We start from the raw sequence: 13,217 nt of genomic DNA, 5'->3' as shown, positions 1-13,217 counted from the left end.
CTTTATGATCATTCTGTGAAAGCCAAATAGGAAGGCAGTCATGCTCTGACATTTTTGAAAAATACCATACTAAAAGAATCAACTTACTTTACTCTTTGTTCAACAAATCAGAGCACAACTGAAATTGTAATTTAAATTTTGTTAAGCACAAAAAGCATATTTTTAGAATGTTACACTTCATTTGTCAAAAAATAAACCAGTCAACCTTGTTTATGATTATTTATTGTGAATTTCTCTTCCTATTTTAAAGGGTCTAACTTTAAAATCCTTTCCATTACCAATTGCTCTCAGATAATGAGGATTTCTTGCACTGGTATTCTCCTAAACATATAGCTAAAAAGTCACATTAAAGTAACTCAGAGAATTCCTGATTCTGGTTTTGGAAACTGCAGTTAGCTGACAGCTCTGCGCCTGAGATTGTTAAAACATTGAACCTTTCATCTTTAATAGGATGATATTTGACTTTAAATACTGTACTGTTGATACCAGAAAAATGAGTCTCGGTTGTAGGCTGAATAACACACCGCCCCCACCAAAAGTTGTCCATGTTCTAATTCCTGAAAGCTGTGGACATGTTACTTTATAGGGTGAAAGGGATTTTACACGTGTGATTAAATTAAGCCTCTTAAATTACAGAGGTTATTCCGGATTACCCAGATGAGCTCAGTGTAATCAAAAGGGTCCTTATAGGAAAGAGGCAGGAGTCAGAACACATATAGAGAAAATGTAAGGACAGATGCAGAGATTGGAGGGAAGAGGATAGGCTTTGGGTTTTGAAGACAGTGGAAGGGCTTATGAGCCAGGGAATGTGAACAGCCTCTAGAAAGAGGAAAAGGCAAAGAAACAGATTCTCCCCTAGAGCTTCTAGATGATGTGCAGTCCCATGGACCCATTTTAGACTTTTGACCTCCAGAATTTAAGTGTATAAATTTATATTGCTTTATACCAGTAATTTTGTGGTAAATTGTTACAGTGGCAATAGAACATTAATATAGTCTTGTTTGGAATTTTTTTCTGCTCTGCTGAAAACTAAAGGAAAATGTAGCTTCTTCTAGCTCCCCTTCACGAAGAGCTGGGCAACAGACAGAGAAATGACTTTCCCTCTCTGCCCCTGTTCCTTTTATGGGTCAGTTCAAAAGTCTTTTCCTTCGTAAGGCCTTAAGTCTGTCCTGTGACCTCTCATATCAGGTTGCTCTTATGTCCAGGACTATAGATCCATTCTGAGACTGCAATGGGATGAAGTTAATAATCATGCTGTGACAATAGAGATAAACTGGAACTGTGCTGGAACAGACGGTCACCAAACCCATTTTGTTTTGCCTTGAATTACAATTAGTTACTTAAATGTCTATCTCCGTTTTCTTTTCCTCTCTATTCTTCATATTTGTCATCATCACCAACATCACTATGATGAAATTTATATTTAAAAGTTCCATCACAATTACCATGTGTCTGGCACACATCATGCACCTTACATTAATAACTCATGAGTCCCTGCAGCAACTACAGGAGGACAGCACTAATGTTATCCTCATTTTATATGGAAATCATTGAGGCATAGAAAGGCCAGGTAACTTATTCAAAGTCACACAATTGGAGGCAGCAGGGCCAGGATTCAGTTTCAGACAGTCTGGCCTCTTCATTACTATTCCTGTTTTGTGTCCCTAAATGGGACTTTTCACAGCAAAGGTGCTAAGTTGTCATTTGAAAAGTAAATGACACCTGAGTTCACACACTTACACTCTTATTCCTAAATACTGTGGAAAAACAGGGTTTGGAGTAAAAATAATAATGTCAATATAATAGTTTTGTTCTGTCCAAATCTCTGTGGCAAAATTTTTAAAAACCTATCCACACCAAATGTTGTCCTTAGTCTTTTCAGACCTAAATTAAAAGTATTAAATTGACTTGGTGAAATGAGTTATTAGAAGAAACATATACATTTTTAAAGTTGCTTTTTCATTAGAGCTTTGCCACAATGTCTATAAGTGGAGATAGCAGCTGTATTTTCCTTAACGGGTCAAATGCTTCCAAACTGTCCTTGACAGTAGCTAAACACAAAGGACATTTTTGCCAAAGGTTCATGGAAAAAAGAGATAACACTTAATTAGAAAAGATGAAGCGTTTATATGACTTAAGTGAACTCTTTCGCTAAATTTGAGATAAGTCGTGTTTAAAACAGCCCTGGCCTGAGATTGCCAGTCAAATATGTGTTAGTAAACAGAATAATCCTTGATTTTGATTATCCACATACTTAATGCCAAGAAAAATCACAGTCCTAAAAAAAACTTGGATCCCAAGAAATTAGGTAGGATTGATGCTGCTTTTCTTCCATGTAAAGCTCTGCTTTCCATGTGAACCATAATGTATTTAAATAAAGTGCATTCAACCAACTTAATACAAGAGATAAAAATAGAATTACCTTAATGATGTGTATAAATAGGAACATGATGTGATTAAAAAATGATTTTTTTTTTTTTTTGAGATGGAGTCTTGCTCTGTCGTCCAGGCTGGAGTGCAGTGGTACAATCTTGGCTTACTGCAAACTCAGCTTCCTGGGTTCACTCCATTCTCCTGCCTCAGCCTCCCGAGTAGCTGGGACTACAGGCGCCCATCACTATGCCCAGCTAATTTTTTTTTGTATTTTTAGTAGAGATGGGGTTTCACTGTGTTAGCCAGGATGGTCTCGATCTCCTGACCTCGTGATCCGCCTGCCTCGGCCTCCCAAAGTGCTGGGATTACAGGCTTGAGCCACCGTGCCCGGCCAATGATTTTTTTCAAAGGCTGGATTATTAAAAATAATATGGACATAAATTTACTTTTTAAATGTCTTTATTGGATACATAATTTTAAACCAAAAGACAATTAAGTTGATATAAAATCTAGTCTTTTTTTTTCTTCATAATTGTTAGAGGGACTTAAATCAGGTTTAATCATTCAGGTTCTTCCAAACTTAAAACAAAAATAACATACTTTTCTAAAATATGTGTCTGGACAATTTCAACTAATTATAAATGAATTTATTCCCATATTCCAATATAGTAAACTTTTATTTGATGCACACTGTATCAAGTAGAAAATAATCATTCTCACAGATGTGTGTGTGTGTGCATACACATTCCAAGGACAAGGGTAGCTAAAATCTGCACATAAATCTAATTTTTCTCAGATCGATCCCATTAAACTAATGAACTCAAATCTTATGGAAAGTTTGAGAATCTAGTAAACTTCAAATGTATTGATTAGTAGATATGATTTTATTGACTGTTAAAGAGCAAACCATTTGCAATCTTCTGTCTTTATCAAAAAACAAAACATGCATGTAAGGCCTTGGAATATTTGATACTCTATCCTGATTTAAGTCCTGCAGATAGCAAATTCCTGTCCTCCTCCACACTCCAGGGAGCTACTCTTTCCAAAATAAGTTCAGAAGCTTTTTTAATGCATGACTGTGCTCAGCCCAGTCCTGTGGGAGGTGTGGAGAAAGAAAGGAATTTGGCTAGGGGAATTGAAACATATTAAAAAAACAAAACACAACACAATAACAACATTAAAAAAAACCCCACTAATCTTTTGATTTGGCTGCAGACTAAAGAGATGAGTCTGTAAACTGGATTTAATAATTTTCCAGTATCTTGAAGGGTCAACTCCCCCTCCATGTATTGGAACTAAAAATAAAGAGAGCTGCTAATTTCAAAACCCTGTTTTAGAGTATAGATCTTAAAATGTGTATGTCTCTCTTTTATTATAGCTGACATATTTAAAGTGAAAATGAGATGGGTTTTCCCCCCACAGGAAAGGCTATATTACACCAAACCAAACGATAGCATTTAAAACTGGAATAGTCCAAGTCTTTACTGAGGCCCACCATTTCCCAAGAAAGTCACTGAAGGTGTGATTTATTCAAGACACCAAGACCCACATCTTCCACATTCAAATTTTAGCATTCTATCCTTTTTAGTTTTTGTATGTGTTTCTCTAAAACTTGGGAACATTTCCATGCAATGCAAATAGAGTTGTTGTGGAAGAAAAATAAAGCATTTCATTTCCCAAATACAAATATAATGCAAAGACACATGAGTACCTATTTTCCAAAACCACATTAAAAATGTAAAAAAAAGTAGAATTTTAAAATTATATAACCCAATATATCACAAATCAGTTCAACATGTAATTTTTAAATTCTGTGTATCTGAACTCTTGTATTTTACACTAATAGGCCAACTCACTTTGGACTAGCTACGTTTTAAGTGCTCTGCATTCACACCTGGGTAGTGGCTGCTGTGTCTGTGCAGTTCCTATGTTTGTGAAATGGAGGGTTAACACACAGAGAGCTCTTTACTTCTTTACTGCACTGGCTTTTCACAGCCATTGACATGCTAATGTGCATCATGCATACTTATTAACATCTGTTCAGGCAATGCTGTTGGACATGCTGCACTACACCATGTGGCACCCTTGTGAAAAACTTCTTTATGCCATTGGATTTTGAAGATATGGCTAAGAAATGACACTGGATTTTGAAGATATGGCTAAGAAATGACACTGGATTTTGAAGATATGGCTAAGAAATGACACTGGATTTTGAAGATATGGCTAACAAAGGTCTTAACTCTAGATTTTACACCCAGCTCTGCCACTTCCTAGATAGCCAACATTGCACAAAATACTAACCTCTCTTAAATGTGTTTCCTTATATAGAAAATGGAAATTTTACCAATATTGCAGGACTGCTCTGATGACTAAATGAGAGCATTAGTAAGGTACCCAGAAAAGTACCTAGCACACAGTAGGCACTCAATAAATTATGTATGTATGCATTTTCTCTATATATTTATGTATCTCTAACATATTTTAAATAATGGAGGAGTTCGTGGTTTTGAGTAAATCTTACTATATGAGTACATTTTTCAAGGTCTTGATTTAGCACTATTGTATAAATCTGCATCTAGAAGCCTTAAGTGTAGGAGGATCAGAGGTGGGGCTCTCAGAAAGAAGAAAGGGCACTTTTTACTGGCTTTCCTTATGCCAGCTTCATACTGAAGCTTTCCATTGCAGCTTCAGCCAGAAAAATGCTTTATTAGATTTAGACAAGATTCCTTTCGAAGAAGAAGATTCATAGTTAAAATTTGTAACTTACTATGTTAAGAAATTCAAGAATGGTTAAATGGTTTAAACGTATGCTCAAGTCTGCAAAAAAGTTATATTTATTACAGGTAAATTGCCTTGTGAAGTAGATTGCTAGGACAATTGGTCACTTAAAACGGAAAGGTAATTACTTATATTTGTAAACAGGAAAACATGTTATACTAAAATTGAATGCTGCAAAGTGAGTCCTATACAAACCATATTAATGAATTTGCTGCTGGGATAGTCCGCATTCCACAAGCTACAAAATTGATACCTCAGTACTATTTAATAGAAATTAAAGATAGAGCTGTTTAGAAGTAGCTTTGACTTAACTTTACTCTTGATTTTCAAAAGTGAAGGAAGGATCAAAGCTAAAACTCTGTGAAGTTTCCACAGAACATAATTAAAATTCAAGAGTGCACAACAGAAAATCCAAGGTAATATCCAATCTTCACAGTGGTTTATTTTGAAGACTAGCTTTACACTGAAATTGTACAAACATTTGTCAACTTAGTAAAAAATAACTGCAAAATTGTATGTCTAATTTAGCAAAAACAAAAAATCCTGGTAAAATAGAGAATACACAGATAGTGTGTTTGCACAGGAATAAAATTAATTATAAGAATCCCTCCATAGACACTGCAGTTGGAAAAGGAATTTCTGTGGCCCTTAGGCTCTCAAGAGTCCTACTCTATGTACAGATGGTCCCCAACGTATGATGGTCCAACTTAACAATTTTTCAACTTTACATTGGTGCGAAACTGGTATGCATTCAGTTAGAAACCATATTTCAAGTACCCATGCAATCAATCTGTTTTTCATTTTCAGTACAGTATCCAAGAAAATTACATGAGATATCCTTTATTGTAAAATAGGCTTTATGCTATCTTGTCCAACTGTATGCTAATCTAAGTGTTCTGAGCACCTTTAAGTTAGGCCAGGCTAAGCTACATTTGGTAGGTTAGGTGTATTAAATGCATTTTCAAAATAAGGTATTATCAACTTACAGTGGGCTTTTCAGGACTTAACCCACGGTAAGTCAAGGAGCACCTGTACTTTCTTCTAGGTGACAACTTCTTTTACTAAAAGTGGCACTCTTATCTGCTAAAATAGTCTCTGTCTAGTATTCTATGCATGTTTCCTCAAATTATCTCATTTTTAATCAATTAAAAATATTTTGGCCAGGTGCGGTGGCTCACACCTGTAATCCCAGCACTTTGGGCGGCCGAGGTGGGCGGATTACCTGAGGTCAGGAGTTCGAGACCAGCCCGACCGACATGGAGAAACCCCGTCTCTACTAAAAATACAAGATTAGTTGGGTGTAGTGTCGCATGCCTGTAATCCCAGCTACTCGGGAACCTGAGGCAGGAGAATTGCTTGTACCCGGGAGGCGGATGTTGCGGTGAGCCGAGATCGCACCATTGCGCTCCAGCCTGGGAAACAAGAACGAAACTCTGTCTCAGGAAAAAAAAAAAAAAAAAAATTAAATTTGAAGAACTAGCTCCTTCAATGACAGTGTTTCCATCCACTTTACGGATGGAGACCTAGGAAGACGGGCAGTAAAATCAAAGAAGCTGGAAATATTTGACCTTATACACAATACTCAGGAAGATTTATTACATGGTGGGACTATTCCAGTTGAGGCCTAATCAGCTCTGGCTTGGACAATTGCAGCTGATTCCTGTCTGTGCATATTTGGGTGTCTCTGGCCTCTGGACTTGATGAAATGTGAAATTTCGTAACTTTTAAAGTAACTACAAAATCCAACTAAATAAGAGAAATCACAACAGACACCAAAGCAAACAGTAATTGGTTTAAAAAAATGCCTGGGAAACAGGCCAGTGGGATTGTGAAACGTAAACTTCTTTATATAAATGCATTTCAACTGTTAAGAAAGGGTTTTGAAAAGAACTAAAAAAGAAAACTGGCTGGGCGCAGTGGCTCACGTCTGTAATCCCAGCACTTTGGGAGGCCGAGGCGGTCAGATCACAAGGTCAGGTGATCAAGACCATCCTGGCCAACATGGTGAAACCCCCCTTTACTAAAAATACAAAAATTAGCTGGGTGTAGTGGCGCATGCCTGTAATCCCAGCTACTCGGGAGGCTGAGGCAGGACAATTGCTTGAACCATGGAGTTGGAGGTTGCAGAGAGTGGAGATTGCACGACTGCACTCCAGCCTGGTGAAGGAGCAAGACTCCATACCAAAAAAAAAAAAAAAAAAAAAAAAAGAAAATTTCCAACCTAACATTAAAATATAAACTCTCTCATACTATTGGTTACATTAAAACGACAGAAGTGTCCTCAAGTTGATTAGAGATTGCATTTTCTCATTTTCCAGTATCAATATGTGAGACACTTAGTTTTCATTATGAAAACGAATTATGAGAGTTTTGTTTTTGAGGCATTTCATTCAAAGCACGTATCAACAACCATTTGTTAAGCACTGATTATGATTTTAAAGGCACCTTAAAACTATTATTTATAATCAAATAACAGCAAATTGTATTGACGGCTTATACATTCCACACTCCCCTCTAGGTACTTAACATGTACTGTGAACTTATTTAATGCTGACAACAACCATTAAAATTAATGGATTATTTAATCCTTATTTATTTTCAGATGATATAAATGGAGGCAGAGCAAAACTAAATTATTTGCCCAGATTTTCCCAGTTAATAAGAAATTGAGCCAGGATTTGAAGCCAGACGGGGTGCCAGAGCCTAGGATTTTCACCATCACTTTCTACTTCCAACATAACACACTAAGCAATGATGATGCTACCATCTGTAATAATGATTACAGTATCAACTAAATTCATTTACATAAGGTGGTTCTGCAAACGGCAAATGATGTAAAAAATGGTAACTGTGCTCTTAAGTAGCTTCACATCTAAGGAGTAAAAAATAGCTCTGATGAAAGACATTAATAAGTATCTCCTTTTTTAAATCTGAAAAACTATTATGGCTCAGAGGAACTCAAGGGCAGAGTGGGGATAGGCGAAACACTACTTACACATTTTCTGGAAATAAGGTAGCATCTTTGGGGTCCTCTGACAGACATGGAGTCAGAAGCTCTAGGTTTAAAACCTTCATCTGGTCTTGCTCAAGTTAATTAACCTCTTTAAGCCTTTTTTGATCTCTAGTTACTGTCAGTATTCAATGAGAACATATGGATTTTAATCAGTACTTTTTCAGTAACAAACTGAATTCGATTAAACTAGATTAGGCATAAAAAAGTAGACTTTTAGAAGGTTACTGAAATGAAGAGAATTTTAGAAACCACAAGCGCCTTAGGGACTTTAAGAATGGCAACTGGGACAATGATTGGCTCACTCGTCCAATGCTGGAGGACTCGGATTGGTCAGGTCTAAGCCTAGAGACGGAGAAGTAAGAAATGCGATTGGCAGCTCTATCAGAATCATGTAGTTCCCAGAAGGGCACCCTGAAGAACAGATGCCAGAGGAGTCTAAAAGAGGTATCACAAACAAATTTAAAAGTGCCAAATTTAAAAGTGCCAATACATTTTACACACCATTTTAAAAGTGCTAATAAAAATAACATTGACAGACACAAATGAACACTTCCCACATTGTAGGCACTGCTCTAAGCATATCACATGTAGTAAGTAATACAGTACTTGGAGGAAAGCCCAGGTTATGCACAGGACACTATTTGGATACAGTGTAGAAAGGAACAGGCCTCAGGTGATGAAGAGCATTAAATGGCAGGCTAACTTATACTTAATTTTATTGACAAATCAGAGCCAATGCAGATCAAGGAATAGAAGGTGATAGGGCCACAGTTCTACATTAGGATAACTAACCTGGGTTTTTCGAGAAGAGAGAAATGGGAGGTGGGGAATTTAACTAATAATGCCATTTTAAGAGGAAGTTTAGCAAAGACTTGAATAGGTAGTAGTAGGAATAGAAAGGAAAACAAACAAAAAACAGATTTAAGGCTTTGTAGAACTGTCAGTAAATTGAAATGGAGATTAGGAATCAGAAGAGTTCCACCTAATGCATGCAGGGCTTAAAACTTAGATGACAGGTTGATAGGTGCAGCAAACCACCATGGCACATGTATACATATGTAACCAACCTGCATGTTCAGCACACGTATCCCAGAACTTAAACTAAAAAGTTCCCCATTGAAGGAATAAATGATGATGGTACTTAGTAAGGAAAAATGGCAAAGTCAGGGTGAGAACTGGTGTAAGGAGAGAATGATGATGAATTTAGTTTTGAATATAATGAGTTAAAAAGCAGGCAATGCATTCTCAGAAGGGGATATCAAGAAGGCAATTCCAAATGTGGCATCACATCTCATAGCTTGGAACAGGGAAAATCTGAGCTTCTGGAGTAGCTGAAATTGTAAAAAGAGCATAGAAAAAGAAGAAATGAAGAAACAACAGACTGATACTTAAATTCTAATCCAAAATGTACTTAGCCAATAGGTTTGTAAAATTTTAAAAATTTAAATTTATTAGGATTTATTAACACAATTACACAGAATAAAGTTCAGGATTTCATTAATGATGGTCACCAATATGTGCTTCTTTGTGGCTTTTTAACCCATAATTCTCATGATTCAAATTTATTCATATTATAGTTGAATTTCATACACAGCTTCACAATGTGGATATTACAGGTCCACCAGTAAAATTAATGAAAACATATCTTTCATGAAAGGCACATAAAGAATCTAAACTAACACATTTAAGGAACTTTGATAACTTTGAATTTCTTTACATTACAAAGAAGAAAATCCTCCAAATGAAACAGATATGAATATAGTTTATGGTTACACACACACACACACACACACACACACACACAAATATACTTCAACCCAGTGACAACACGTAACTTGGAAACTACTTACCAGCAACGTGTACTGAAAGACTAACCTTTTCCAAGATGAGTAAAAAAAGGAGGGTGGGGTGGGGAGTGCTGTTTACTTTGCTGAAACAAGGTCAGAGATGACACATCATGAATAATCAAAAGAAAATTATTCTATCAAAGCTCAGTATCTAGCTGATACATAACACTTATTTGAGCACACATATAATCACTGACTTATTAAACACTATTACTCATTTTCTAAGTGTAATCGTCCATTTCATTCTCAGAAATAATAGTATAATTGAAAAAGAAATGATATAATCTCAAGCAAGTGGAGAAATTTGAATTATCTAAGGGAAAAAAGTAATTTTAACATAGTGTGATAATTACATTTGAAATTAGTTATATGTATAAATTTAAATCTTGCATTATATCAGCAATAGAGTATTCAAAGATCCTTCTTGTTATCTTCCCAACAAGGAGCTATCATGTATGCTAGGTACAAGAGACTCCTCAAGGGAAATAAAAGCCTCACCAATCAATGTCTCAAAATTCATTATGTCCACAGGTTTTTTTTTTACCCACAAAAATGCTCTTAGGATCCCTCCAAACTTAGTTATAAACAAAAATGTAGTTATTTAAAGTGAATAAAAATTAAGATGACATCACCTTTGAGGCAATGCATTCATATCAGCCAAATATTAAAATTCAGAGTGAAAACAAGTGAATAAAAACTAAGTGTGTACAATAAGTCTAAGACAGTATATCCTCAGAAATCTGAAATTTTAGTTTTTCAAACCAAATCTAACGTGGAATCTAATGTAAAATTAAATTATTTTATTTTCTTAAAGTAGGAAAAATCAAAATGCATACAATGTTTAAATAGTTGATCCAAAGGCAGGTGTATTCATCTTAAGAACATTTCAATAAAACACATAAAATTTAAAGAACAAATCATGTTATTAAAATAGTCTGTGCAATGTTTGTACAAATAACATTTTTATTAATACAAGTATACATATAATCTAGATAAGGGCTGTAATGTTTCCTAATATTAATTACTGTACTTAAAAATTTACAGGACATGAACATAAATAAAGCTGTTTAAAACTGGCAAACGTAGTAATAGTCTGTCATTCAGTACAAGGTATATTTATGTTATTTCCAAAGCCATCACCCTAAAATCCTAAGTTGCCACTCTTAAAACCTAAAAATAATGTCGAAAACTAAAGTCATAAATACATGTATACATACATTTGCATATTTACACTTATGCAGAAATCATCAATATACTAGAGCCCAGCTTTAACACTGTCCTTCAGTTTCACACTGCAGGACCATCTGTCACATTTAAGAAAGGTCCTTCTGTTACTTTCAGTTAAAAAAACAAAACAGAACAACTTTGGTCAAGTCCCAGATGCATTTGCCTTATATTACATTCTGTGTTGCTGCAAGACTCTAGTCTACAGAGATCCATATATAAGTACTCATTTGGTTTGAAAATGCATTTTACCATGAACTGCAAAACTTAAAAGAGACCACAATCTTTTAGATTATTTTTTATGATGACATCTGTTACAGCATCAAAAACAAACTGCACATTCTTAGTATCTGTGGCACATGTGAAGTGGGTGTATATTTCCTTTGTGTCCTTTCTTTTATTGAGGTCTTCAAACTGACATTGAATATATGCAGCTGCCTCTTCATATGTGTTTGATCCTGAGATGGAAAAAGGAAAGAAACATAAATGCAAAAAGTTAAAATAACTGCTTAAAATACTGAATTCAGTTTCATACATATGAAACTGAAGTCAGTTTCATACAGTTTCATTCATGGACTCCTTAACTGTGCTTTCCCTTCTAGAATGGGAGACACTATTTCTTCTAAATGAAAAACACTCCATGTTAATTACCTTTAATGACTAAGTTATCCCTTAAACAAAAAATTTCCTTTACATGGCATTCCGTGTTCATCATGATCTTTGTTCCTGCCTCAATCCTCAAATGCCAGATCTTTTATCCTCTTATCCTCTGTCCTCTACACCCCAGCTCAGATGCTTGACGACGGCATGCTATTTCAGTTCTGGCCCAATGGTGGATCAAAAAATGTTGGCTGAATGCTGATCAGTATTTTTTCCTCCCTTTTCTATATATACATTAATTTGCATTCTTCACTCATTTTTCTTTATTCAAAAATTGTACCAAGGTCTACAATGATGTTTAGGAGTATGAGGTTACAAAAAAAGTGAATGACACACTCCAGCTTTCAGGTTATTGACTATAAAAGACTTCCTCTGAGTACAAACACTCCAGAAATTGTTTGGCAATATCTAAAGATAATCACACACACACTCTGACCCCGCAATTCAGTTTCTAGATATACACTTGACAGAACTGTGTATCACTGAAGACACAGAAGAAGTGAGAATGAAAGTACTCAGTAACATGAATTAATCTCCTAAGTGTACTGTTGAGCAAAAGAAGCTAGATGCAAAAAGATCGCATACTGTATGATCCAACAATGTTTGAAAAATGAACTGGTGAGGACAAAAACCTCACCAATAGTGTCTGTGGAACATGTGAAGTGGGTGTATATTTCCTTTGTGTTCTTTCTTTTATTAAGGTCTTCAGTGATTATCAGTGAGTAATCAGTGATTACTATGTGTATGGGTTGTGATTGTGTTATGTGTGTGTTGTGGGGAGGGTTTGATTGGTTAAGACTGAGAGGAAGCATGATGGGGCTTTCTGGGGTCCTGAAGCTGTTTGGTTTCTTGACCTGAGTGGTGGATACTGGTACATTAACCTTTAAACACGCACTTATGCTGAGGGTGTGTGTGTACGTATGTATGTATGTACATAATATTATAATATACATTAATGTATATAATGTAATGCTCTATGTAATGCTTCAATAAAAAAACTGAAAAACATTCAAATTTCATTTGGAAAAAAACTGTTTAAACCCCTCTTTTGTAGTAATAATCCAAAATTATCTGCCAGACTTTCAAGGTCCTCTACTACCCAGCCTGCTCTGCAGTGCCATCATTCTGAGATCCTCTCCTCCACACTGGCGCTCACCCCAGGTCCATGTCGTGAGGACCTAACATGCAAACTGCCACCTGTGGTACTGTAGTACTTCCTCTTCATTCTACTTCACCGGCTGAGATCTCTGCCTGCCTTCACATTTGCTCAAAATTGGCACTCCATCTAACTTTTCCTAATTAATCAAATCTAGCTGGGTTCT

The 13,217-nt window shown here is 35.8% G+C and overlaps 1 protein-coding gene across 2 annotated transcripts in view; it reads right to left on the bottom strand.

Annotated features, from left to right (window-relative positions):
• Positions 1-2,814: 2,814 nt before the first annotated feature.
• GNAI1 (G protein subunit alpha i1) overlaps positions 2,815-13,217 on the bottom strand; it is a 91,351-nt gene continuing 80,948 nt past the window's right edge. For both annotated transcript variants that reach the window (NM_002069.6, NM_001256414.2), the window contains exon 8: positions 2,815-11,693. In NM_002069.6, the coding sequence (NP_002060.4) occupies positions 11,503-11,693 (191 nt within the window). In that variant the 3' untranslated portion in view covers positions 2,815-11,502. The remainder of the gene's footprint in view (positions 11,694-13,217) is intronic.

This window comes from Homo sapiens, chromosome 7 (genome assembly GCF_000001405.40).
Source record: "Homo sapiens chromosome 7, GRCh38.p14 Primary Assembly".
NCBI classification, from domain to species: Eukaryota; Metazoa; Chordata; class Mammalia; order Primates; family Hominidae; genus Homo; species Homo sapiens.
This window is presented reverse-complemented; position numbering and strand designations above follow the sequence as displayed.